At 46.0% G+C, this 24,626-nt stretch overlaps 1 long non-coding RNA gene across 1 annotated transcript in view, besides 6 other annotated features; it reads right to left on the bottom strand.

Annotated features, from left to right (window-relative positions):
* PDYN-AS1 (PDYN antisense RNA 1) overlaps window positions 1-19,728 on the bottom strand; it is a 60,308-nt gene extending 40,580 nt beyond the window's left edge. The window contains exons 1-3 of the long non-coding RNA NR_134520.1: window positions 19,287-19,728; window positions 15,390-15,459; window positions 595-1,334 (exon numbers count right to left, since the gene is read on the bottom strand). This is a non-coding gene — a long non-coding RNA (PDYN antisense RNA 1). The remainder of the gene's footprint in view (window positions 1-594; window positions 1,335-15,389; window positions 15,460-19,286) is intronic.
* Window positions 1,826-2,376: an enhancer, noted in NCBI's record as "NANOG hESC enhancer chr20:1945208-1945758 (GRCh37/hg19 assembly coordinates)". NCBI's record gives its function as "activates a minimal SCP1, AML or CMV promoter by ChIP-STARR-seq in naive H9 embryonic stem cells {active_cell/tissue: H9 hESC(naive)}" and the evidence as "EXISTENCE:reporter gene assay evidence [ECO:0000049][PMID:30033119]".
* Window positions 12,336-12,425: an enhancer, noted in NCBI's record as "active region_17462". NCBI's record gives its function as "activates an Ori minimal core promoter by ATAC-STARR-seq in GM12878 lymphoblastoid cells {active_cell/tissue: GM12878}" and the evidence as "EXISTENCE:reporter gene assay evidence [ECO:0000049][PMID:35858748]".
* Window positions 15,801-16,095: a silencer, noted in NCBI's record as "tiled region #1230; HepG2 Repressive non-DNase unmatched - State 21:Repr". NCBI's record gives its function as "represses a minimal TATA promoter and a strong SV40 promoter by Sharpr-MPRA in HepG2 cells {active_cell/tissue: HepG2}" and the evidence as "EXISTENCE:reporter gene assay evidence [ECO:0000049][PMID:27701403]".
* Window positions 18,882-19,429: an enhancer, noted in NCBI's record as "H3K4me1 hESC enhancer chr20:1928155-1928702 (GRCh37/hg19 assembly coordinates)". NCBI's record gives its function as "activates a minimal SCP1, AML or CMV promoter by ChIP-STARR-seq in primed H9 embryonic stem cells {active_cell/tissue: H9 hESC(primed)}" and the evidence as "EXISTENCE:reporter gene assay evidence [ECO:0000049][PMID:30033119]".
* Window positions 19,441-19,735: a silencer, noted in NCBI's record as "tiled region #9993; HepG2 Repressive DNase matched - State 4:PromP, and K562 Repressive non-DNase unmatched - State 21:Repr". NCBI's record gives its function as "represses a minimal TATA promoter and a strong SV40 promoter by Sharpr-MPRA in HepG2 and K562 cells {active_cell/tissue: HepG2 | K562}" and the evidence as "EXISTENCE:reporter gene assay evidence [ECO:0000049][PMID:27701403]".
* Window positions 20,863-21,409: an enhancer, noted in NCBI's record as "H3K4me1 hESC enhancer chr20:1926175-1926721 (GRCh37/hg19 assembly coordinates)". NCBI's record gives its function as "activates a minimal SCP1, AML or CMV promoter by ChIP-STARR-seq in primed H9 embryonic stem cells {active_cell/tissue: H9 hESC(primed)}" and the evidence as "EXISTENCE:reporter gene assay evidence [ECO:0000049][PMID:30033119]".

The raw sequence follows: 24,626 nt of genomic DNA, 5'->3' as shown, positions 1-24,626 counted from the left end.
TGACATTCCCGGATTCACTCAAGAGCTAAGTTGGGGTTTTAGGGTAACCCCCAAAGTCCTTGCTTGTCTGCTAACTACACAGTAACTGCCAGTCTGGGTAGGGAACATTAAGGGTATGGAATCGGCAGGACAAGGCACCTGACTGGATTGGGAGAGAGAAAGAGGAAAAGCGTCGAGAATGAGCTTGGTTCAGTTTGGGCACAGGTGAGTATGCAGAGAGCACCAGCAGGCCTTGGGAACTCCTAAAGCATCCCCACCATATCATCTCATCATCTCTCTCATCTCAACCTCCCAAGGTTACACATTGATCTTCACTGGAGATTTTCTTTTGGAGAAGGAGGTCCTAGCACACTCTCATGAAAGAGTTGGGGCTGACACTGAGGAGCCCTGGGGAGCCCTGGAAGAGAGGGTGTCTCTGAGAGCCACCTCCATGCTCTCTGCCTAAGGGACGGATCCTCAACGTAACCACAATCTGAAAACAATCATTGCTGACATTTGGGGTGGATGCTATGGGAGCCACATCTAGGCCCCTGATTCTGGCTGTCATACCCCTCCCCACTCCAGATCTAGGGGCATAAAAGACCAGTCACTCACCTCGTGGTAGTGCAGCTCCCACTCCAGAGCTCCCCTAGGAGCAGGCTGAAGCTAGTGCACAGCTGAGACCACTTTCTTGCTTGGCAGCATGCTGCAGAATGCTCTGCTGGCTGCCAGGGAAACTGGTCTGAGGGTCAGGCTCCCTCCTTCACCCTCAGCTTCCTTCCCTTCTTGGACAGCCACCTCTGCAGGCCCTCAGTGTTTGTGGAGTGAATAACTTGGGTTACATAAAGCCCTGGCACACAGTAGGCCCTCAGTGCAGTCCCCATTGACTTCCCAGAGGTCCAGAGTTTTCACAGAGATCCCGGGACGTCTCACAGGACATCTTGTTCCTCGGTAGTGACCTTGCTCTAGCCTTCAGGGCTGCACCTGGACTTCAGGGAGTCTTAATGGGGCAGGAGACCCCCCGGCCCCGCCCTCTGGGCAGGTGCGCGAAGATGATGCACGCACAGGAGGTGGCGGCCGCGAGGTGGGTGGGCGGCAGCCGCGTGTCTCTGATCTGGGAGCGCCCCCTCGTGGCGAGATGAGCCATGCACGTTGAGGGAGGATTTCCCCACCGTCCACGTGGTCTTAAGGGTTCAAACTCAAGGAGACAAAAGGAGAGACGCTCAGGGGATCATCTAATATAAACGGGCGGTCGTCAGCATTAAGATAAGAAGTCTTGGTGCTTCCTATTAAAATAAGTTGTTCTGCAGTGCGGTCTTTCCTCTTAGCCTGCAAATGATTAGGCAATTTCCTCACTGCAAAGAAAGGGAAATCCTGTTTGCCCCAGCTCTCATCGGAACCAGTGGAGAGTGAGCTTGGATAGTGGCGTTCAGAAATTTAAACCTCACTCGAGTAGAAAGCACTTTTGCTTCCTCCACCCATCCCATGTTTTCTCCATTTAAAATTAAAAACGAAGATAAAAACAGGCCGGAAGTATTTTGTCTACCCAGCTCTGCCTGAAGCTCTGGGGGAAATTTTCAGTAATGATGATGATGATGATCAAAGCAAAAATAGTAAACTATAAATGTGGAGAGCTCTCAACTAAGGTGGGAACGTCTGAGAGGAAGAGCTTTTCATGAGCCTAGAACTCTTAAAGAAAACGTTATTCGTGGCACTCGCTGAAGGTGGTGAGGCCAATTCAAGGTCCCCTGGCGATGGGTATAGGGATCGCTGCAGTGGGGTCTCATAGTGGGAAGAGAGATGGGGCTCAGTTCTGACTCCAACAGGGACAAGTGAGAATTTATAACCAAGGAGCAGAGCGGGGGTCCACGGATGGAAAATTACTAAGAGGAAACCTCAGGGATTTTCTGGCTAAACTAACGTGAGAGGATTATTGCTGAAGGCAGGCCAAGCTGATCAGATATCCACAATGGTCGGACACCAAGAGTGGGGATTTTTGCTAAACTGATTTAGCAGGATTCTTGCTCCAGCTGGAGTCTACAAGGACAGAGAGGCTGCCTAGTCAAGTGGAGGACTCAGAGGAGACAGACTAGTTTGTGTCAAAGGAGAGAGTCTTTGTCTCCTTTGACCAAACCCCGGGAGGTGCTATGCGTGAAATTCAGCTGCTCAGATGTGCAAATGAGAAAGTGCGCTTCTGTAAGAGAAGAGACATAGTATGGGCTTTATAATTTTAAAAAAACCCAGGAGGGATTTCAGGTAGTACGAAAAGAATGGGGGGACTGGAGTGAATGAATACTTGTCGAGCCCTTATTTTTTCCATGTGGCTCTTATTATTCTGTCAGGGACATTGAAACAGGAGTGACTCCATCTTGAATAGGGGCTGGGTAAAATAAGGCTGAGACCTAATGGGCTGCATTCCCAGGAGGTCAGACAATCTTAGTCACAGGATGAGATAGAAGGTTGGCAGGACTAGTATCACAAGATACAGGTCACAAAGACCCTGCTGATAAAACGGGATGTGGTTAAAACAAAAAAAAAAGAGCCAAAACCCACTGAAACCAAGATGGTGATGAAAGTGACCTCTGGTCATCCTCACTGCTCATTATGCGCTAATTATAATGCATTAACATGCTAAAAGACACTCCCACCAGCACCCATGACAATTTACAAATGTCATGGTAATGTCAGGAAGTTACCCTATATGGTCTAAAGCAGGGAGGAACCCTCAGTTCTGGAAATTGCCCACCCCTTTCCTGGAGCACTCATGAATAATCCACCCCTTGTTCAGCAGGTAATCAAGAAATAACTGTAAGTATACTCAGTTGAGCAACCCACGCCACTGCTCTGTGTGTGCTTTACTTTCCTAATAAACTCGCTTCCACTTTATGAACTTCCTCTGAATTCTTTCCTGTGCGAGGTCCAAGAACCCCCTCTTGAGGTCTAGATCAGGACCCCTTTCTGGTAACAATCACATCTTTACCTTAGCCTTGACAAATAAAGGCAATTTTTCCATTTTACAGATAGAGAAACAGGCTCAGAGAAGAAAGGGGCTGAGCTCAAAGTGACATCATTGAAAAGCAAAGGGCTAGGATTAAAAACCAGGCTCCTAATATCAACCTCAGTGTTTGCCACAGCACTGGGTCAACGGATCTACCGACACTCGTTCATCCATTGATTTATTCATCAAATGTTTATTGAATACCTACTATGCACCAGATACAGTTATAAGCACTGGGGATACAGCCACGTCCACAACTGGCTGAAGAAATTAGGGCTACAAATATTGCTGGGTGGGGAGGCTCAGATGACCAATGATATTTCTTTACTAACTACTTTCGTTTATCAGCTCATTCACCAATCCATTTATTTTTTATTTTATTTTATGCAAAGTGTTTACTGACTTATTTATTCATCCATTCTCTCAGTCACTTATTTTCTTATTTACTTATTCATTCATCCACTCAAACATTGATTCACTTGTTCATTCATTCTTTTGATCATTTATTTATTTATTCACCTGCTCATTATTTGCTCATTCTACTACTCCATCAATCATTTACTCATTCCTTCACTAATTCATACTCTCATGTGTCTGTAAATCTCTCCATCCATCCATCCTTCATTCCTCCTATACATCCATCAATCTCTCATAAATCCATCCATTCCCCTGTCCACCCATATCTCCCTGTCTTCTTTCTTTCCTTCCATTTCTCCCTCCCTCCTTCTTTTCTCCGTCCCTTCCTTCTTTCTTTCCATCTATGGTTCCTCCAGTCACTCCTCCATCAATCCCTCCCTTCTTCCCTCTATCCACCCCTACATTGCCTGTCCATTCTTTCAGGCCTCATGCTGACCCTGAAAATTAAGAAATAATACAACCCATTTCAACCTCCAAGGCACTTACCATCTAGTAGTGGTCAGTGACAAGAAGAAAGGGCACCATATCACTGTGATTAGAAATGAGACAAGAAGCTAGGGGAGGGTGGCAGAGAGGAACCCTAAGTCACCTGAGGGCTGGGAAATCCAGGCTGAGTCCTAAAGGAAAAGTCAGCCGCATTGAGCAGGATGGAGGCAGTGGGAGTTTCAGGCAGAGGGAATCGCATATATACACGCTTGGAGGCAGAGCGGGCACAGCGTGATTGGGGACGGGCAAGTGTGGCTGGATCTTAGGAAGGGCAGGGAGGCAGTGGAGAGATCACACCCACTACTCTCCCAGGCATTGCTTCCTGAGATTCTTAGCTTTGTGTATTGTGAGGATGGCCACATTTGGTGCTCGGTCTACCCTAGTCCCCCTCTGGCCTCCTCCATCAGCTTGACAGGGCAGTCCTATAGGATTGCAAGAAATCCAGGCTACCCATAGTGTCGTCGGTAACAGGGCTCACCTTTCCTCATCACTGTCAGAGCCAGCAGTGAAGAGAACACTGCCCAACCCCCCCAGGCTTCCCCTTTGTCTGTGGTGATACCCTGGGCTGTGATACCCCCACAGAAACATCTTCTAGATCAGCTCTAGCACAGACCTCCCCAGCTTCCACGCCTCCCCCATGTCTGATAGGTCTCCAGGCCCTGCCCCTTTCACCTCTTCATCACCTCCTCCTTGTCAGCCAGACAGATATTTACCTAACTCTGACCCCCATTAGGCCAGCCTCTCCCTACCAGCCCTGTCTCTCACTTCTCTTCCTCTAGCGGCTTCCCCCAGACCCCACATGCCCATTCCTCTGCCTCCAGAGTAGCCTCTCTGAAGCTCCAATATCCTCATGCCATCCACCTGCATAAAATCCTTTAAGGATACCTTGTTCCAGGCCAGGGAGTCAAGTCCAAACTCCCTGGCCAGGCATACAGATTCTTTATCATCTGGCACATGCTATTTCTCCAGGCTTGTCTGGCTCTTACATCCTCACGTGTACTATCCTTGCAGACCAGAGCCCCAGACATTCCCAACACATCCCACTTCTACTCACTTTTGCCACCTTGTAACTGTTGGAACTTTGCCTGTGGTGGCCTTCCCTGCCTTGTCCCCCGAGAAGACTCTTGCTCATCCTTCCAAACCTGGTTGGGTGCATCCATCAGACCTTGTCAGGATTGCTATTTTACCAGTCATCATATTTCATTGCATATCTGTCTGTCTCCCTTCACTAGACCGCAAGCCCCTGGGAGACACAAGCCTTTTCACAGTCTTCACTGCTTTCTCAGTGTCTAAAACAGTGCCTGACACACAGAAGGTACTCACTCAATAAGCATTCTATGGACAAATGAATGAATGAACGAAATATCTCTATGGATGTCTGGGTCCTCTGAGATTGTGTGTCCAGCCTGGCCGCTTATCCTGCCATGGGAGAAGCTCTGCAGACATTGGACAAAGTCTCACATGACATCAAGTGGGGAAAACAATCTGGTTGCTTGGCATTTAGGGCTGGTTTCCAAGCATTTGTCTTGACAGGGAGATCCTGTCTGTAATGCTGGCTGGCAGATCACTGTCCTGAGGGTGGGATGGGCCGCCCAGAGGTTACCCAGCTGCTAGGATTATGGTAGTCAGGTGAACTCCGGAATCAGAGCCAGTGATCTCGGGGAGAAGGTGGTGGTGAATGAAGACTCATTCAGAGGTGCTAGCAGCTGCTGTCTGAGATTAATTCAGTGCTGCTGTGCATTGACATTCCATAGTACATGTTGGGAAGTCTCCACTCTCTACTCCTGGCATAAAGCGTCCTGACTTCCATTTTGGCCCACAGAGAAGGGACCACATGTCTAAGAGGCAACAAAATGAGATGCTAGAGCACAGCTGCCAGGGCTGCCCACCCCCACCTCTGTCTAGGAGATGACCTCGGCAAGTTCCAATCCGATAATTTCTGCCTCTTTAATTTGGGTGTTTAGACCATTTACATTTAAGGTGATAATTGATATGGTTGGGTTTAAATCCACCATGTTGCTATTTATTTTCTGTTTCCCCCATTTGTTATTTGTTTCTTTTTTGTTCTGCTTCTTTTTTAGATTAATATTTTTTATGATTCCATTTTATCTCTTTTGTTGGCTTATTAGCTATAATTCTTTGTTGAATTATTTTAGCAGTTGTTTTGGAGTTTATAATACACATCTCTAACCTATCACAGTCTGCTTTCAGATGATATTATACCACTTCACATACAGAATCAGAACCTTACAACATTATACTCCCATTTCTCCCCTGTTGGCCTTTGTATTGTTTTTGTTATACATAGTATTGCTTCATATATTATAAACTCCACAGTACACTGTTGTTATTTTTGCTTTAAATAGTCAAATTTGTTTTTAAAGTGATTTTTAAAGTAAGAGAAAAGAGGGGTTTTATTTGCCCATAGTTGTCATTTCCAGTGCTCTTCATTCCTTTGTGTAGAGTCAGACTCCCATCTGGTATCTTTTTTTTTTTTTTTTTTTGCCTAAAGGACTTATCAACACTTTTTTTCTATACAGGTATGCTGGTGATGAATTCTTCCTGCCTTTGGATATCTGAAAACATCTTTAGTTTGATTTTTTTTTTTTTTTTTTTTTTGAGACAGGTTCTCATTCTGTCACTCAGGCTGGAATGCAGTGGCATGATCTTGGCTCACTACAGCCTTGATCTCCCCAGGCTCAGGTGATTCTCCCATCTCAGCCCCTGAGTAGTTGGGACTACAGGCATGTGTCACCATGCCCGGCTAATTTGTGTGTGTGTGTGTTTTTTGTAGAGATGGGGTTTTGCCACGTTGCCCAGGCTTTCATTTTTAAAAAGACATGTTTGCTGGATGTAGAATTCTAGGTTGACTTTATTTTTCTCTGAGCATTTTAAGGATGCTACTCTACTGTCTTCTTACTTGCATTGTTTCTTTTGAGAAATCTGATGCCGGCCTTATATTTGTTCATGTGTATATATAACCTGGGTTTTTTATTTTCTGGCTGCCTTTAAGGTTTTTAGTTTATGTCTAGTTTTGAGTAATTTGATTATAATGGCCCTTGGTGTCATTTGCTTAATGTTGTGAGAGTCTCAAGTATAATCTCGTAAGGCAAAGTGGTATAATATCAGTCGGAAGTAGAAGGTAGAGACTGTGATGAATTAATGTGCTTGGGGTTCACTGGGTTTCTTCAGTCTGTGAATTTTGTTTACATCAAATTTGGCAAATTTTCAACCATTATTTCTCCTTCAAGCTCTCTCATATATATATATATATATATTTGATCTATATATACACACACATATATACACATATGTATATATTTATCTGCTTATAAATATGTCTATCTGCTTATACACATACCTATGTGTGAGGGTGTGTGTGTTGTGTGTTGTGTGTATATGTATATTATACTGGAAGTTGTCCCACATTTTGCTGATACTCTGTTCATTTTTTTTTTTCAGTCTTTTTTTTCTCTATGGTTCATTCTGGATAGTTTCTCTTGCTATATATTTAATTTCACTAATCTTTTTTATACGAGCCTTTTTGCTGTCTTCCATATCACAATTTAGTAACTCAGTCCTTCCTCTAGTTTCCTGAACCTATGAAATACAGCTATAATCATGGTTTTAATGTCTTTATTTATCAGTTCTATCATTTGTGTCATTTCCGGGTCAGTTTCCAATGATCAAATTTTCTCCTCATTAATGGATTGAATTTCCTTGCTTCTTTGCATGCCTGGCAATTTTTTTAATGGATACCAGACACTGAATTTACATCATCATGTGCTAGGTTTTTTTGTGTGTGTTTCTATAAATATGTTTGATTTTTTTTTTTCTGGGACACAGTCAAGTTCCTTGGAATTAGTTTAATCTTTGCTTTTAAACATTTTTAGATGGAACCATATCCATGTTTAGAGCAAATTTTGTCCAGCTACTAAGGAAGAAACCTTGTGAATCCTCTGCCTAAAGCCCTGTGAGATTTTTCACTCTGGCTCCTAAGAACAGAGACTATTCCCAGCCCTGTGGGGGAACCTGGGGTTGTTCCCTCTAATCTAATCAGGTGGTTCTTTGCTCCTCAGGTAGGTTTCATACATGCACATGCTCATTAGTACTCAGAAGACAGGAGGGGCTCTCTGCTGATCGCCAGAGGTCACCTGTGCTCTTGAACCTGCTCCTCCCCACAAGCTCTCTTCTCAGTGATACTCTGCCCTGTGAACTCCAGACACCTTGGCCTCTGGATTAATGCGTTTGCATTGCTACAACAAAAATACCCAAGTCTGGGTAATTTATAAAGAACAGAAATTTATTTCTCATGGTTCTAGAGGCTGGGAAGTTCAAGATCAAGATGCCAGTGTTGGATGTCTAGTGAGAGCTGTTCTCTGCTTCCAAGATGACGCCTTCAATGCTGTGTCCTCCAGAGGGGAGAAATGCCATGTCCTTATATGGCAGAGGGCAGAAGGGCAAAAGGATAGACTACCTTCATGAAGCCCTTTTATAACAACATTAATCCATTCATGAGGGCAGAGTCCTCATGACTAAACACCTTCCAAAAGGCCCCATCTCCCAACACTATTGCATTAGGGGTTAGGTTTCAACATAAATTTAATTTTTTTTTTTTTTTGGAGATAGGGTTTTGCTCTGTTAACCAGGCTGGAGTGCAGCGGTATAACCATGCCTCATTGCAGCCTTAGTCTCCTAGACTCAAGTGTTCCTCCCACCTCAGCCTCCTGAGTAGCTGGGACTACAGGTGTGCATCACCATGCCTGGCTATTTAAAAAAATTTTATTTTGTAGAGATGGGGTCTCACTATGTTGTACAGGCTTATTTTGAACGCCTGGCCTCAAGCAATCCTCCTGCCTTGGCCTCCCAAAGTGTTGGGATTAAGGGCGTGAGCCACTGTATCCAGCCTCAACATAATTTTTTACAGGGGACAAAAACATTCTAACCATAGCAGCCACCCAGCTCCATCTCTTCAACTCAGGAAGACCCCCGGGCCCTACCTGGACTCCCTGTCCTGTGCCGTGGCCTGAAAACTCTCTCCAGATAGTAAGCAGAGGCAATTGCTAGGCTCTCTTTTGTTTTCTCTCTCTCAGGGATCACGGTTCTGTGTTGCCTGATGTCCAATGTCTTGAAAACTGTTGATTCATATGTTTTCCCCAGATTTTTTTGTTTCAGCTAAGAGGATAAACCCATTCTCTGTTATTCCACCTTGACCAGAAGGAGAAGTCAGTGAATGAACCCAGATCTCTTCTAGAGGAACAAATATATTTCCAGGGGTTTAAGTTGGGCAACCAGGATCTATTGGTCTAAGCCATCCTAATTCCTCTACTAAATTTTTTTTTCAAAAATACTGGATGCACCAAACAAGACCTTCTATATGCCATATTTGGCCCTTGGGCTGCAATTGTGAGAATCCTGGAAACAGGAAACTTTACTTGTTTCCAGGTATTTTTTACCTGTCATTTTAACTAGTTTAAGCCTAAAAATAGTCTTTGCATATTACTGTCCAAAGCTAGGAGTTGAAAGAAACAGGATTTGAACCCAGGTCCTCTCTGACTTCAAAGATACCATCATTTCCTTCATTAGATTCCTACCCCATTGTTTTCATTTGCACTGTTATATTTCACATTATTTTGTGTGTATTCTCCCACCCCACCACCCTGCACTTTGAGACTTCCTTGTCTTTGCATCCTCTAAGTTTAGCAGAGGGCCTGACCTGTAAGAGATGTTGAGAGAATTTTTGTGGAACAAATAACTTCTCTCCTTCTGTTTGCTCTCTTAATGTTTCATCCTCCTCTAGTCCACACCCATCTATTAAATGGGAGGTATGTTACCAGCAGCACAGGTGGGATTTAAATCAAGCAGCTGCTACCTGTGAGATGATGCCTCTGCTACTACAAGAGACCTGCCAAGACACAGAGTTCATTCATTGAGGAGAAAAGGGCTGGTTAACATTCTGTAAACACAAGCTTTGAGGGATTTTAAAAAATATTTAAAGTCCTGAGATATTGAAGCTGGGACATCCAACTTCAGTAGTCATCAAAGAAATTCAAATTAACAAACAAAGTATTGGCATAATTTTAAAAAACCAATAACATGGGATATTAATAAGAATATAAGGAAAAGATGACCTCATATACTGCTGGTAGCATTATAAATCAGTATAATTTTTCTGGAAGGCCATTTAGCAAAACATATCAAAAGTTTTAAATATGCTCATGTAATTTTTCTCAGCAATTTCACATTTAGCACATTATATCCTAAGGAAATAAGCAGACAGGTGCACTGTGATTTATCCATGAGAATGCTCATTGCAGCACTGTTTAGTTGAAGACTGTGGACTAGATAAATACATCACTATGAAGGATAAGCCCACAGCCTTTGAAAGCAAATACATTGAAGAATAATGACTTGAAAAATGTTTTTGAACAATTGTTAAGAAATCTTGATTAAACAATTATATGCATATTCATCATAATTAATACTTCTTGTGTGCTTTACTAATTAACTCATATAATCCTTATAATAATAATAATCTTATGAGGCAGGTACTGTCCTTGTGGACTCAGAAGTTGCATCATGGAGAGGCAGCCTAACTTCCCTGTGGGCAGGTAGTGGGTGGCAGAGCTGGATTCCAACTACTGGTGCTCAGGAAATCTTAGAACACTGAGTCCAGTGCTTCCCAAGGTGTGGTCCCTGGACCAGCAGCCCCACATCACCTGGAACTTGTTAGAAGTGCCAAATCCCAGGCCTGGTCCCAGACCTCCTGATCAAAAGCTCTGGGGGTGGGGCCCAGCAATCTATGTTTGAGCAACCCTTCCAGGTGAATGTATGCTCAGTTTTGAGAGCCACTGTGCAATTGTAAGGGCCGAAGGGAAGCTTCTCCTCTGTCCTCTTAAGGTTTGCTGAAAACGAACTATAATAGACAGATTAGTAAAAGAAAAAGGCATATGAAATTGTATTTAACAAGGCCAGGCATGGTGGCTCATGCCTGTAATTCCACACTTTGGGAGGCCATGGTGAGAGGATCACTTGAAGCCGGAAGTTTGAGACTACCCTGGGTAACAAAACAAGATCCTGTCTCTACAAAAAATTTTTTTAAAAAATTAGCCAGGCATGGTGATATGTGTCCACAGTCCCAGCTACTTGGTAATCAGAGGCAGGAGGATCACTTGAACCCAGGAGTTTGAGGCTGCAGTTGAGCTATGATTGTGCCACTGCACTCCAGCCCAGGCAACAGAAGAACATCTTGCCTCTCAAAAAATAATAATAATAATAAAATAAATTATTTAATGTGAGTAACACAGGGGAATTATAGGAGAATGATTACCCAATAACCCTTATATGCCCTTCTTCATCGGGGAAGGGGAAATGGGAGGTATAGGAGTAAGTGACTTTTTAGGGGAAATGAGTGATCCTAAAGAACAACTGCCTGAGACAAAATTCTTCTGAGCTCTGGGGGAGGTGGCGGGAAGGTAAGGGGCAGACCTTCACTGTAAACAAAGATTGTCTTACTATGCAGATGAAGCGTCCCAGGTGATCTCTAGGAGCTGCTCTCAGAAAAACAAATGAAAGTCTGTCTGAGCACGGTGACTACATCTAGTCTCTTTTCCAGTGGTTAATCTTTCCTGGTTATTTGATGAGATTCCTAGGGACGGGGAGTTTTAAGAAATTGCATTTCTCTTGGAAAGAAGCTTTCTTAGGCAGATAAGAAAATTCCAGCGACAGCCCCTCCTGGTGCTTTGGGAAAGTAAGAGGATCAGAGAGACAGGGAGGCAGGGCAAGGTCAGAAAGAGACCTTGAAACCGCTTCTTCAGTTCAGCACGTCAAAGCGCCAGATTCTGGGGTATTATTTTCTGAGCCTGAATACAACACTATTGCATCTTTTCTCGAAATTTTGTAAAAAGAAAGTATATGTATGTATAAAAAAGTCTGATGGATTGGTCATTAAAATATTAACAGTGTCACTTCTGAATGGTGGGGTTCTGGGTGATTTTTTTATATATATTTTTTTGTTTTATAATTCCAAAAGGTACATAATGAACTTCTGCATCCAAAGTAAAAGAAAAAAATACATGTTCTTTAAAAAAAAAAAAAAAAGAAGAAGGGGCCAGGCACAGAGGCTCACGCCTGTTATCCCAGCACTTTTTGGGAGGCCAAGGTGGGTGAATCACTTGAGGTCAGGGGTTCAAGACCAGCCTGGCCAACATGGTGAAACCCCATCTCTATTAAAAATACAAAATTTAGCCAGGTGTGGTGGCACAGGCTTGTAATCCCAGCTACTTGGAAGGCTGAGGTGGGAGGATCGCTTGAACCAGGGAGGTGGAAACTACAGTGAGCTGAGATTGCACCACTGCACTCCCCTGGGAGACACAGTGAGGCTCTGTCTCAAAAAAAAAAAAAAAAAAAAGGAACTCCGCTTCAATACTCAGTGAGATGGTATATATTTTGGGTAGAAGGGAAGTAGAGAAGAAAATGGTTCCCCTAAATCATACAGCAACTCCAGCAGTTCTTCTTCAGTGTGAATGAATCACCAGGGGGTCTTGTGAAAATGCAGACTTGGCCGGGTGCGGAGGCTCACGCCTGTGATCCCAGCACTTTGGGAGGCCGAGGCGGGCGGATCACGAGGTCAGGAGATCGAGACCACGGTGAAACCCCGTCTCTACTAAAAATACAAAAAAATCAGCCGGGCGTGGTGGTGGGCGCCTGTAGTCCCAGCTACTCGGGAGGCTGAGGCAGGAGAATGGCATGAACCCAGGAGTCGGAGCTTGCGGTGAGCCGAGATCGCGCCACTGCACTCCAGCCTGGGCGACAGAGCGAGACTCCCTCTCAAAAAAAAAAAAAAAAAAAAAAAAAGAAAGAAAAAAAAAGAAAATGCAGACTCAGTGAGGCTTGCGGCTAAGATGCTGCACTCCCAACCAGCTCCCAGAGGATGCTGAAGATGCTGGTCTAGAGTCCACACTTTAAGAAACAAGAGACCAGAGAGACGGAGGCTCTTAATCTCCAGAATGCAAGCTTCACGAGGGGCCTGGTCCCATGATGTGTTTCCAGTGCTGAGAACGGAGCAAAGAATAGTTATCTAATAAATAGATGGAGGTGCGGCAAGCCTCCTCATTCCTGGGGACCCAGAAATGGGGGTTCTGGTCATGGTTCTGTATCTGCTGCCAGTAATACCTTTGGCAAGCTGCGGCCTCCCTGTGATGACAACTGTCACTGGGCAGGGTGACAGCTCTGGACCCTTCTTTCCCATGACCCAATATGCAAGACCGGTTCAGCCTGGGCCAGGGCTACCCAACATGTCAGTCTTGCACCAAACAAAAAGTACCAGGAACTTGGTAACACAGGTGTTCTGAGAAGCCCAAAGAAAGGAACTAGAGATGAAGAAATATCTAAGTTGAGGTTTCCGTAGAAACATTAACTCATCTGCATAGGCTGCATGCTGCATTTGGATTACAGGTTAGGCTCGTAAGCCTGAAATAAATTATATACTCTTCGTATTATTCAACACTGTACTGTATAATAATAAATTATACAGTTATAGGCCTCAGCCCAAGTTATAACAAATTATACCACAGTGTATAATTACCCTGCACTGCACCATATAATAATAAATTAGACAGCTACAAACCTAAGTTGTGACTCCAGAAAGAGGAGAATGAATGGGGGCTACTGATCCATTCCTCTGACCAGTCAGATAAGCCCGGAGCCTGAGAATGAAGAATTTAATTGCTTATTCCTTCCTTCCTCCCTCCCTCTCTTCCTTCCTTCCTCCTTCCCTCCCTCTCTCTTTTCCTTCCTTCCTCCCTCCCTCCCTTCCTTCCTTCCCCTCTTATTCCTTCCTCCTTCTCTCTCTCCCTCCCTCCCTTCCTTCTTCTTTTCCTTCCTTCCTTCCTTCCTTCCTTCCTTCCTTCCTTCCTTCCTTCCTTCCTTCCTTCCTTTCCTTCCTCCCTCCCTCCCTCCATCCCCCTCTCATATTTGAGTGCCTCCCTGGTTTTTGGTGTAGACTTGACCATGGGAGCCTGAGCTGACTTGGAACGAGTCCCCATCTTTGAGGGCTCCCAGGCTGTGGGGTGAAGAGCATGTAAACTGAAAATGAAACAGTGTAACAACAGCTGCTGTGGAAAGAGTAAATTAATCACAGCGGCCTTGGTATCAGGTGTCTACCAGGTAGCAGGCATCAGCACAGGTGTTAACTCCTCATGCCCTGGGGGTAGGTATCATCGTCTCCATTTGACAGGTGAAGCGAGCAGAGCTAACACAAAATGTGACTCGCTTAAGGTCACACAACTATTATAGAAATGGTGGGTGGGAATTTTCACCCAGGACTGTCTATCTGACGGTTAGATTTCTCTGAGGGTGCTACCCAGTCGAGTCAGCTTGGAAAGCAAAAATCAAGTGTCATGAAAAGTACCCCTGGCAAATCCTCAGAGACACTAGGTTGGGGACTGATATTCAGTCTCCTAGTGAGTCCAGCACAGTTGGGGTTCCCTGCAGCCCAGGAGCAGGTTCCTCTTCCTTCCACAGAGGGTACTGGCTGGGGTAATACTGGACCATAATATAATCTAGTGCCAGTGTGGATTAGGAGCTACTGTGAGGACTTCACAGGTGTTAAGCTCATTTTATCCTCTCAACAACCTTATGAGGTTGGTACTTTTCTTATGCCCACTTTACAGGTGAGGAGTCCCAGGCACAGAGGAGTTAGCAACTTGCTCGGGGTTGTACAGCCAGGAAGTGGCGGAGCTGGAGTCTGAATTTGGAGTAGTCTGGTCTGCCAAGTCCCTCATTCTTTCCCACTATACTGCCAGTTTTTTGGGTTTTTTTCCAGCTTATCTTTAAAGACTTGTCCTTAGGTAGCTGTAGGATGAGGGGCCTATGGGGACTGAGCCTCAGAGAGCAGATTCTGCCTCTATCTCATAACCACTTAGGGTGTGTGCCCATTGAGCCACATGGTCCTTACTTAATTTCTTTCTCTCTTCTTGTCTTTCTTTCTGTATTTTTTCTTTTTTCTTTTGTCTGAAGCACACGTTAAACTTGCATAAGCTGTAATTTTATTGTAATCAAACTGTCAAAGAGGCCCAAAGTGACAGGGAAGTGAATGCAACTGCCTCTCTTCCTGCAGTGGTCAGGGAAGGCTTCTGGGAGGAGGTGGCATTAAAGGCATAAAGGGTGAATAGGAGTTTAAACAGCACACAAGGAAGGCAGGCAAGAAGAGTGAAGGTACAGGTGAGAAGAGATTGTTTTGGGAGGGACTCTTAAGTCCTTCCAGGTGGCTGTGTGAGCTGGGCAGGAGGCGAGGTGGGGTGGCAGACAGGGCCTTTCAGTGCCTCACTAGGGGAGCTGGACTTTATGTTAAAAGCAGCGACCGTCAATGTGTGGACGGTGGGCTCCTTGGGGATGTCCGAGCTCCACACTGTAGCCAAGACAGGGAAACCAAGGCCCCGTAAGGCTCCTCAGCCTGTCCCACCCCACTCAGTTCCCCAAGGCTCTTCCATGCTGACCAAGCACTTACCTAAACGCTCTTATCCTCATGTCTGGCTGACGGAAGCGGCTCAGTCTGGCAGGTCTCTCTAGAAGGGCATCTACTGGGGGACGGAGAGAGGGTTGACAGAGAAAATACAGGATATCTATGCCCAGTTACAGTTGAACTTTGGACAAACAGCAAGTGATTTTTATATCTCAAATATTGCATGATATATACTAAAAGTATTCATTATTTTTATGAAATTCAAATGTGATTGGGGGTCCTCTATTTTTATTTGTTAAATCTGTCTAGTCTAGATGGAGGGGAACAGGTCACTTCCCAAATAGAATTGAAACCCCTGTGCCTTAGTCAGCATCCCATCAGAGAATTAGAGATGCTGAGCCTTTAGGAGTCATCTAGAACAAGGGATTCTGCCTCTAGTGTGGACTTGCAAGGCCCATGGATCGGCTGGACCAGCAGTCGGAAGGAAGAGGTGCCACGGACAAGAGTAAGAACAAACGGGAACATGTGTCTGTCCGCCACCCCTGCCCATGTCACTGCCACAGTGACCTGCAGGAGAATCCGCCGCCTTCCCTCTGAGAGGCTTTGTAACCATGGTTACAAAGGAAGGGCCCTGGGGAGTATGGAATCTGCACCTCATTTCTGCCCTGGTCTGTAACTTTGGGTAAGTTACTGATAGTAGTCAACTTCTCCATACCTTGGTGTCCTCACACATTAAATGTATACAAAAACTCACACCTCCCTTAGAGAGCTGCGGAGAAGATCCAATGGGAATGAGCCCAGCCTGGCAGCTGACATTTCCTAAGCAGTCAATTAATAATAGTTACTAGCAGTGTCAAAGAGTTGCTATCCATTTATTTTGCTGTAAAAAAAAAGTCACTTGTTTTAAAAGACAAGATAGGCTGGGTACGGTGACTCACGCCTGTAATCCCAGCACTTTGGGACACCAAGGTGGGTGGATCACCTGAGGTCAGGAGTTCGAGACCAGCCTGGCCAACATGGCGAAACCCTGTCTCTACTAAAAATACAAAGATTAGCCAGGTGTGCTGGTGTGTGCCTGTGATCCCAGCTACTTAGGAGGCTGAGGTGGGAGAATTGCTTGATCTGGGGAGGCAGAGGTTGCTGTGAGCCAAGATCATGCCACTGGACTCCAGCCTGGGCGACAGAGTGAGACTCTGTCTCAAAAAAACAAAACAAAAACAAAAGACAAGATATTAAGAGGCAGTATGTTTCAAAATCCTCTCTTGATTAAGTAACTCACCAGGTAAGTCTTGGAAAGATAACATAAACCACCTTCAAAAGCATCTCCAAATGCCAAAGTGAAAATCAGATACCGCGTACAAGAGAGCTACGAATCTCTGAAATCTTAGCGATTCTTCCCCCAAATAAATGGAACAGAGAAGCGCTAAGTAATGGGAAAATAACAAAATTCTGCTTCAGCACTGTTACAGATGCAGTGACTGCTGATTAAAAGAAAATACTTCCTTTAAAAAGGCCACTTATGAAAAGGAAACTCTGGTAGCAAAAGCTGGCATGGAATGGGGGTCAGGCAGCAGGTGGTGGCCACAACCAGGGGGCATTGATCACATGTGAGATGGGGAAGGCCAGTGGGCCTCCAGGAGGGCTGAAGGGCAGAGGACCCAGAGGACAGTGGCTCCCTTCCTTCCCGCTGCTCAGAGAGTGGTGGGGAGAAGGGTTTCCTGTAACCTCAGGGCCTGTTTTCACTGCTTGTTTTCATGGCCATTCAATGCTCTGGCTTGTTTTCAGGCCTGAAGAGGGAAAAAAAAATAAAAGTCAATTCCTTGTATTTGGAAGAATAGGGGTAAACTGGCCCTCTTCAGGGTGTTGGAAGCCTCTCTCTGCCTCCTGCTGGAAAAAGAGGCCCCTGGGCAGTCTTTTTAGCCACTTAGCCTGGTTCTGAGGTTTTCTTCTTAACAACTTATAATTCCAGATTGCAGCAAGAAATACAAATGCATTGGAGACCGGGTCTGTGCCAGAGGTGGAGGGGTTGGGCAGAGTGTTCCCAGGAGCACAGCAGGAGGAGAAAGTTCCAGGGTAGAAACTGGAACTCCTGCATGTTGGACACAAGTGGAATGGAGGCAATGTGGCCATCTGGATATGATTAAAAAAAAAAAAAGTTCACCCCTTTGATCCAAGCATCTCATATCTGGGGCTATCTATGCAATAATGTTTAAGACAAAATTGTTTGCAAGTAGGGAAAAAATAGAAACAGTCCAGCTCTCCATCAATAGGGAATTCATTAATTAAATTATTATGTTGACATCTGTCAGTGGCAACTTGTTTCTTTTTTTCCTTCAACTCTGTCTTCCCCATCAGCTGGTCCCGTGGGCTCTGCCACTGAGGCATGTTCCAGGCTGGAGGCTGCATCCCTAGTCCCTGCCACCATCGCCTCTTGCCCGTGCCTCTGAATCCTGTAGCCTGACAAACTTCCTGGTTCCTCCATTGGTGCCTCTCCAATCTGTTCCTACACAGCTGCAGGACCCCCGGGTTCAGGGACTTCACATGTCTCTCAGGCTAAAATCCACAGGCGCTGTCTCACTGGGCCCTGGCCTGACTCTCCAACCTGGTTTCAAAAATGCTCATTCTTTACCTCCAGTTGAATCACACTTGAGCTTAGTGCAGCCTCCCAGCCTTTGCCCTGGCTGCTTCCTCTGCCTGGACTGCTCCATTCTCCTTCCTTCTCTTCCTTCCGGTGGCAGTAAAATGCCATATCCCTGGGGACTTCACGCACTGTCTGTAAATTGTTTTCCCTCTCCCAACCAGCGTCTCTCTAACACTTTGTCCATCTTTTCTTTTTACTTTTTTCTTTTTTCTTTTTTTTTTTTTGTTTTTTGAGACAGAGTCTCACTCTGTCACCCAGGCTGGAGTGTGGTGGTGAGATCTCGGCTCACTGCAAACTCTGCCTCCCAGATTTAAATAATCCTGGTGCCTCAGCCTCCAGAATAGATGGGATTACAGGCATGCACCACCACATAGAGCATTTTTGTTTTGTTTTGTTTTTTTGTATTTTTAGTACAGATGGATTTTCTCTACTAAAACCCTAGGCTGGTCTTGAATGCCTGGCCTCAAATGATCTGCCCGCCTCGGCCTCCCAAAGTCCTAGGATTTCAGGCATGAGCCACAGAGCCTGGCCCCATCTTATTTTCTTCATAGCACTCAGTATAAGGTGAAATGCTCTCAACTATTTATTCATGCATTTGTCAATTATCCCTCCCATGAGAACTCAGAGCAAGGACTGAGTGTGTTGTATGCCCTTGCCTGGTGTACAGGAGCTGCCCGCTCTACACATGTTTGGTGAATGAATGAATGAATGAATGAATGAATACAAGAATGTTATGAAGCTGCTTGAAAGAATGAGGTAGACCTGTATGTCTTACTTGGAAAGGTGCCTTAAATGTATACATGTAAATCCACTTATGAAAAACCAGAAATTAATCAAGTCTATGGAATTAGAAGAGTGACTAGTTTTTGAGGGCTCACTATCATCTGGGCACAGTTTTAACCACTTTTACATTTATTGTCTTGTCTCATTTGGTCCTCACAGTAACCTTCTGGGATAGGTACAGTTTTTGGCACCATTCTACAGAGGAGGACGCTGACACAGAGAGGTTAAGAAACTTGCTTAAGGTCACGCAGTCAGGAAATGGGGGAGCCAGGAAATGAATGTATAGGGTCTGACCTCTGAAAGAACATTCACTAAATGGTGTAGAGTGTTTATTTCGGGATGGACAGGGGCTGAGGTGAGATTCTGGAGGCCGTGGGGTATTAGGGGAGAGGTCCAGACGCCAATTCTATTCCTGCAGTACTGTGTGATCTTGGGCAAGTCATCTGCTTCTCTGTGCTTACCTGGGAACCAGAGGCGATGGTGCAGGGCTACCGAGAGAAGTAAATAGGATAACGTACCCACAGCGCCCAGCTCGAGGCCCTCCATCAGCCGACGATGGGAATGTTTGGTGGAGTAAGTCTGCCCTTCAAGGCCTGAAAGCCCCGTCCCGGTTCCCTGCGCCAGGGCCGCACAGGGGTGGGGAGAGGGCCGCAGGGCCTGGTTGCTTGGCTTGAGGCAGGGTCCTCCCTCAGGGCCTCGGCTCTCCCAGCTGTCGGCCGCGCTGCAGCTTCCCCTGCTCTGGACCGCGACTGCCTGGGCTGGGCGGCCGCACCACGGAATGCGCAGGGGTCATTTTTGGAAGAGCTCAGCTCCAGGCGCAAGGTGCCAAGAGCAGGGCGGATGACTTCAAAGGGCCTTTGCAGCACGTCCTGAAAGATGAGCCCTTGCAGCTCTCCCTGCCCCCGCAGAACACACAGCTTGAAAGGGAAATCGAGCTCGGAGCAGGTGGCTCAGGAATTTGGTGCACGCTGGGGAGGCAGCTCATTTGGGCACAAATACGCGAGGAGGGCGTGGCCTCCTTACACTCCCGGTTAGTATTGCGCGTTTGGGTCCGGGGTAAGCTCGCCTTCTGAGCTTTCATCGCTGGCCGCATTTCGCATTTATTTTTCTGTTTATTTCATGATCCCTTTCTTCCCCGACGAGGGCCTGGGATTTGTCTGTTGCTCTCTGTGTCTACAGTTCGACCTGCAGCGGAGGATGAGTAAATGTTTCCCTAGTGAATGAATGCGTTTTCCTCTTCCACCGGTTTCATCACGTTGGAAAGGCACCGGGGTTTAATCCTGCCTCTAGTAATAACCAGTTGGGTAATCTTGGACTTCGCTGTTCAGCTATAGGCTTAAAATCTGCCTCCATTTGAACCCAGGCCCTGCCTCTTACTAGCTGCGTCACTTTAGAAAGTTGCCAAACTTCTCTGTGTTTCAATTTCCTCATTTGGGCAACGGGGTACTGAGTGCCTATGTCACAGATTGGAGTGAGGGATAAAGGGCTTAACACATACGAAGCGCGACTAGGACGGCACATAGTAAGGTCTAGATAAATATTAACTCGTATTATTTTATTATTATTTTAAAATCAACTTTATTAAAGTATTAACTTACAAACAATAAAATGCACTCATTTTAAAGTATACAGTTTGATGAGTTTTGACTGATATGTACACCCATGTAAGCACCACCTCAATCAAGATAAGCATTTCCAGGTCCCCGAAAGTTCCCTTTGTCCCTTTTAGTCAAGTGCTTCCCTCGCCCTAGCACCTGACTGATGAGTTTTGCCGGTTCTCGAACTTTCCATGAGTCTGGGAATGGTGGTTCACGCCTCTAATCCCAGCACTTTGGGAGACTGAAGCAGGAGGATCACTTGAGCCCAGGAATTTGAGACCAGCCTGGGCAACGTAGGGAGACCCAGTCTCTACAAAAATTTTTTTAAAAAATTAGCTGGGCTGGTTGGCATGCACCTGTAGTTCCAGCTACTTGCAGGCTGAGGCAGGAAGATCACTTGAGCCCAGGAGTTTGAGACCAGCCTGGGCCACATAGGGAAACCCTGTCTCTACAAAAAAAATTTAAAAAAAATTAACCAGGCATAATGCATTGCACTAACACTTATTCCACACTCAAGAAACGCTCTCTCCTACCTCCTCTCCCTTCTTCCCGTTAAAGGGGTCCTTCCAAGGGTATCGGGAGGCAGGAATCTAAAGGTCAAGGGCACTGTGGAGTTGATGGGGGAGAAACCACTGTGTTTATAAAGCAGGTTGTTATTTTTTCATTCTTTGCCTTGTGTCCTTTCCCCTACTTCCCTCTTTTGAGGATAATTAAAATGCAAGCTGGCACTCCCTTGGAGGAGACAGCTGAAGATTTAATTGCCCCAAGAAAAATTTTCCAGCAAAAGGTCCTGTGGTAATGGCAGCTCTCGGCCGGGCTGCCCGAGTGCCTTTGCATCTGGCACAAAACATTAGCGATAATGCATTAATCTGCATGTGCACAGGGTCCATTTACTGGCATGGGGGGGAGCCATGGCAGAATCAAGCCGACAGCCTTAGTCAGGCTGCAGCCTTCTTGCCATTAAACTCTCACCCGGCCTCATTCTGGAGACAGGTCTGTGGCCCAGATCCATGCGACCGGCTGCCGCACCAGCTGACCTTGCCCAGAGAGGGCCTGCGGGGGCAGAAGGCCCAGGTTGGTGGGAACGGCACCTTCTACCATGAGGGCTTGGCCTGTTGTCATTGAAGCAGAGCCAGGAGGACAAGTCTGTTGAGAGGCTGAGCCCCGCCAGCTCCCAAAGTTGAGCCATTGACCAGCCACGCTAGGGTTGTGCAATTTGAGAGTAGACAAATTTTTGCAATCTTTTATCCTGTTTTCTAAGTATAGCCCCAGTTTCTCTAGAAGAGGAACCAAAGGCTCAGACAAAGGTCATTGGCTCCTTGCCTGTTGGGGATCATGCGTCATTTTTTTAAAAAAGTGATTGCCCTGAACCCAGGATCATGATGAAAGGCAGAGAAACTCAGTGGGAAAAGTCAGATGTACTGAGGTTTGCTTCTAGTTCCAAACCTGCCAGCCAGGGACTCTCAGTTCTCCTAAAATGCCAAGCAGACTCCGACTTTTATGCTCTTCCTTCTCCCCCTTTGCTCTCTTCCCTCCCTCTCCCCCTTCCTTTCTTCCTTCCCACCCATCCACCCATCCGTGCTCTCCTGCATCAATCCAGCCATCCATTCAGCCTCCCTTCTTCCATCCATCTATCCTCTCATCCTCCTTCTCATCACTCCGTCCATCCTCCCATCCCTCTAATATTTGCTGGGTGCCTCCTATGGGCTTAGCATAGGAGTTACACTGATGAGTGAATCAACACCCTCCTTGCCCTGAGGCAGCAACTGGGGCAGTAGAGGAGAGGATGGTAATCATGTAATCACAGTGCCAATGTATAATTACAAATTGAGATGAGGGCTACAAAGAAGGGCTGGACATGGTTACTATGGAAGTGTTTGACAAGGGAACTTAGCCCAGCCTCTGGATTGGAGGACAAGCAGGAAAGATCCAGGGAGTGTTGCAGGCAGAGGGAGTAGCTCATGCCGGGGTCCTGTGGTTCATTTTAGAAACTGGCAGGAGGCTGGTGTTGCCAGTGCAGGGAGTGATGGAGAGAGTGGTGTGAATCGGGCTGCAGAGCTCAGTAGGGGCCAGTGCACACAGGGACGGCTGGCCTCTGCCAGGCACTGGCTCCTTGGAACTCCTTTGCACTGGCTCTTTTGCACTTACCTGGCTTCTTGTTACTTATTTTTTAGATCTCAGTTCAGGGATTTCCTCTTCAAGAAGTCTTTTTCTGCCCTGTGCAGGCTGAATGAAGCCAGTATACTTTCCTTTAATAAGACAAAGTATCTCAAATTTGGAAATAAGGCAAAAGAAGGCAGTGCTTCATCTCGTTGCCATACTGGGGCACGGTTTAAAAGCCCCACTGAAGGATTAGTTAGTTCTGTAGAAGAATATACCTGAGTTTGTCTTTCCTATTTGATTAAGGCCCAGATTGGGGCTAATTTGTAGACTTTTGTCTGGTGGGTGCAAATGGCTTCTGTCTGGCAGAAAAAAAATATCTCCAAAGATATGGCCTTATTGCCTTGTGGGACATTAACCGGATTGATCTCTAACTTGAAAATGTTATTCTCACCTTCCTTTTTCAAAGCCTCTAAGTGCCCATTTACTCTTGGAACCAGCTCTTGCCCCACTGCTGGCTCACTCATTAGTGTGTTAATTCTGCACTTGTACGTCATGTTTGTCACGCCCTTCTCAGCAGCGCTCATCCCTGCACTGGGATTGCCAGTGGCTCTGGTTCCCTCATATATGAGCTCATATGGGTGTGGTCCATTTTTTGTCCACATTGTGTCCTCAGAACTTTGCACAGGGCCAGGTTCCAGTAGGAGCTTGAGAAATAATTACTAGTTGAAAGATCTTGAACTTATTACCTCTCCACCTCTCTGAGCCTCAATTTTCTTCCCTGTGAAATTGACATTCCATTTGTAAAGAATGTGAAGGTTCCATGAAGTAAAGAATTCGAGTGTCCAGAGTCCAGCGTGGCACATGGTAGGCTTTAGTCTCCCTTATCCTAGGGGCTGAATCCCAAAGGTAGAGCGTGAAGTTCTGGTTTGGGAGCTCATGTCTGGTCAAGAGGACACCAAGTCACTGGAGGAATGACTCATGGTGGGGCTAGGGAAGTCAAAGGAGTTGCTATATAGTATTTCTTGGGAGAGGAAAATCAACCTGGCCAAGGAGTCCAGCAGGGGCTGGGGAGGAGCAGGAAATGTTCTTAAACAGGTCAGGTGGTGGTATAAGGCAGAGGACTCCGAAAACCAAGCTGGGGTGTTGCACCCCATACCCGAAAGGTTGGTAAGAGAGACCTATCTCAGGCTAATGAGAAAGAGAGGGACTTGATAAAATTATTCGTCAGAAGACCCACCATTGCAGCGATGCTCTAATAACCTGGCCTGATATGTGAGTGTGTGGGTGTGAATGTGTGTGTGTTTCTGTGCATATGTCGACTGCTGTCTGCACCACACTGCTGCAAAGAGTCTTAAATCTACTTTCTCATCGAACTCTCGCAAGAACCCCCGGAGGTGAAGGCTGCTACTATCCCTGTTTCACAGGTGACAAAGCAGAGGCCCAGTGGTGAATCTCTTTGCCCAAGGTCACAGGGCAAGGACTCTGGGGTGCAGTTGTATCCGATTCCAATGGGTGGAGGAGGAGGAAAAGTGATGGAAGGAATCTCAGGAGATGAAGTGATAACAGATAATGGCTTATGCTTGTAGCCATCCTTAATCTTTGTGCTGTTTAGCATCTTTCACTGTTTTCTGTGCTGTTTTGATCACGGGGATGTTCATCTTTCCAATGAACTCAGCGACACTCCTTGGGCCCCTCACTGGGGCCAGGCCCTGGGCTGGGTTCAGCTACCGAAGATAAGGTGTTGACACTAACTTTAAAAAATAGATTGGCCGGGGGTGGGGAGGGGCAGGCATCAAAGGTTGAGGGGGACAGGGCTGGGCATCTATCTTTTAAAAAATTCAAGGCATAACTTATATACAGGGAAATGCACCCATCTTAAATGTGCAGCTGGAAAGGTTTTTACATATGCAACCTCCCAGATAACCACGACTCAGGAAGACGTAGAGCATGTGCCACCCCAGGCTTCTCCTGGTCCTCCCTCCAAGGGCAGCCACTCTTCTGATCTCTGTTGCCAAGGTTTTGCCTGTTTTTGAACATCAGGAGCACGTCTTCTTAAAAAGCATCTTCAATGTCATAATCTTGTATTCAGAAAAGAAACCAAGAGCCTGGTCAGGCACAGTGAAGAGGGTGGTGAAGCGGGGTGGTGTCGGGGATCCC

The sequence above is a fragment of the Homo sapiens genome, chromosome 20 (genome assembly GCF_000001405.40).
Source record: "Homo sapiens chromosome 20, GRCh38.p14 Primary Assembly".
Classification (NCBI taxonomy): domain Eukaryota; kingdom Metazoa; phylum Chordata; class Mammalia; order Primates; family Hominidae; genus Homo; species Homo sapiens.
Note: the sequence above shows the minus strand (reverse complement) of the source record. Positions and strands in the feature narration are given on the sequence as shown.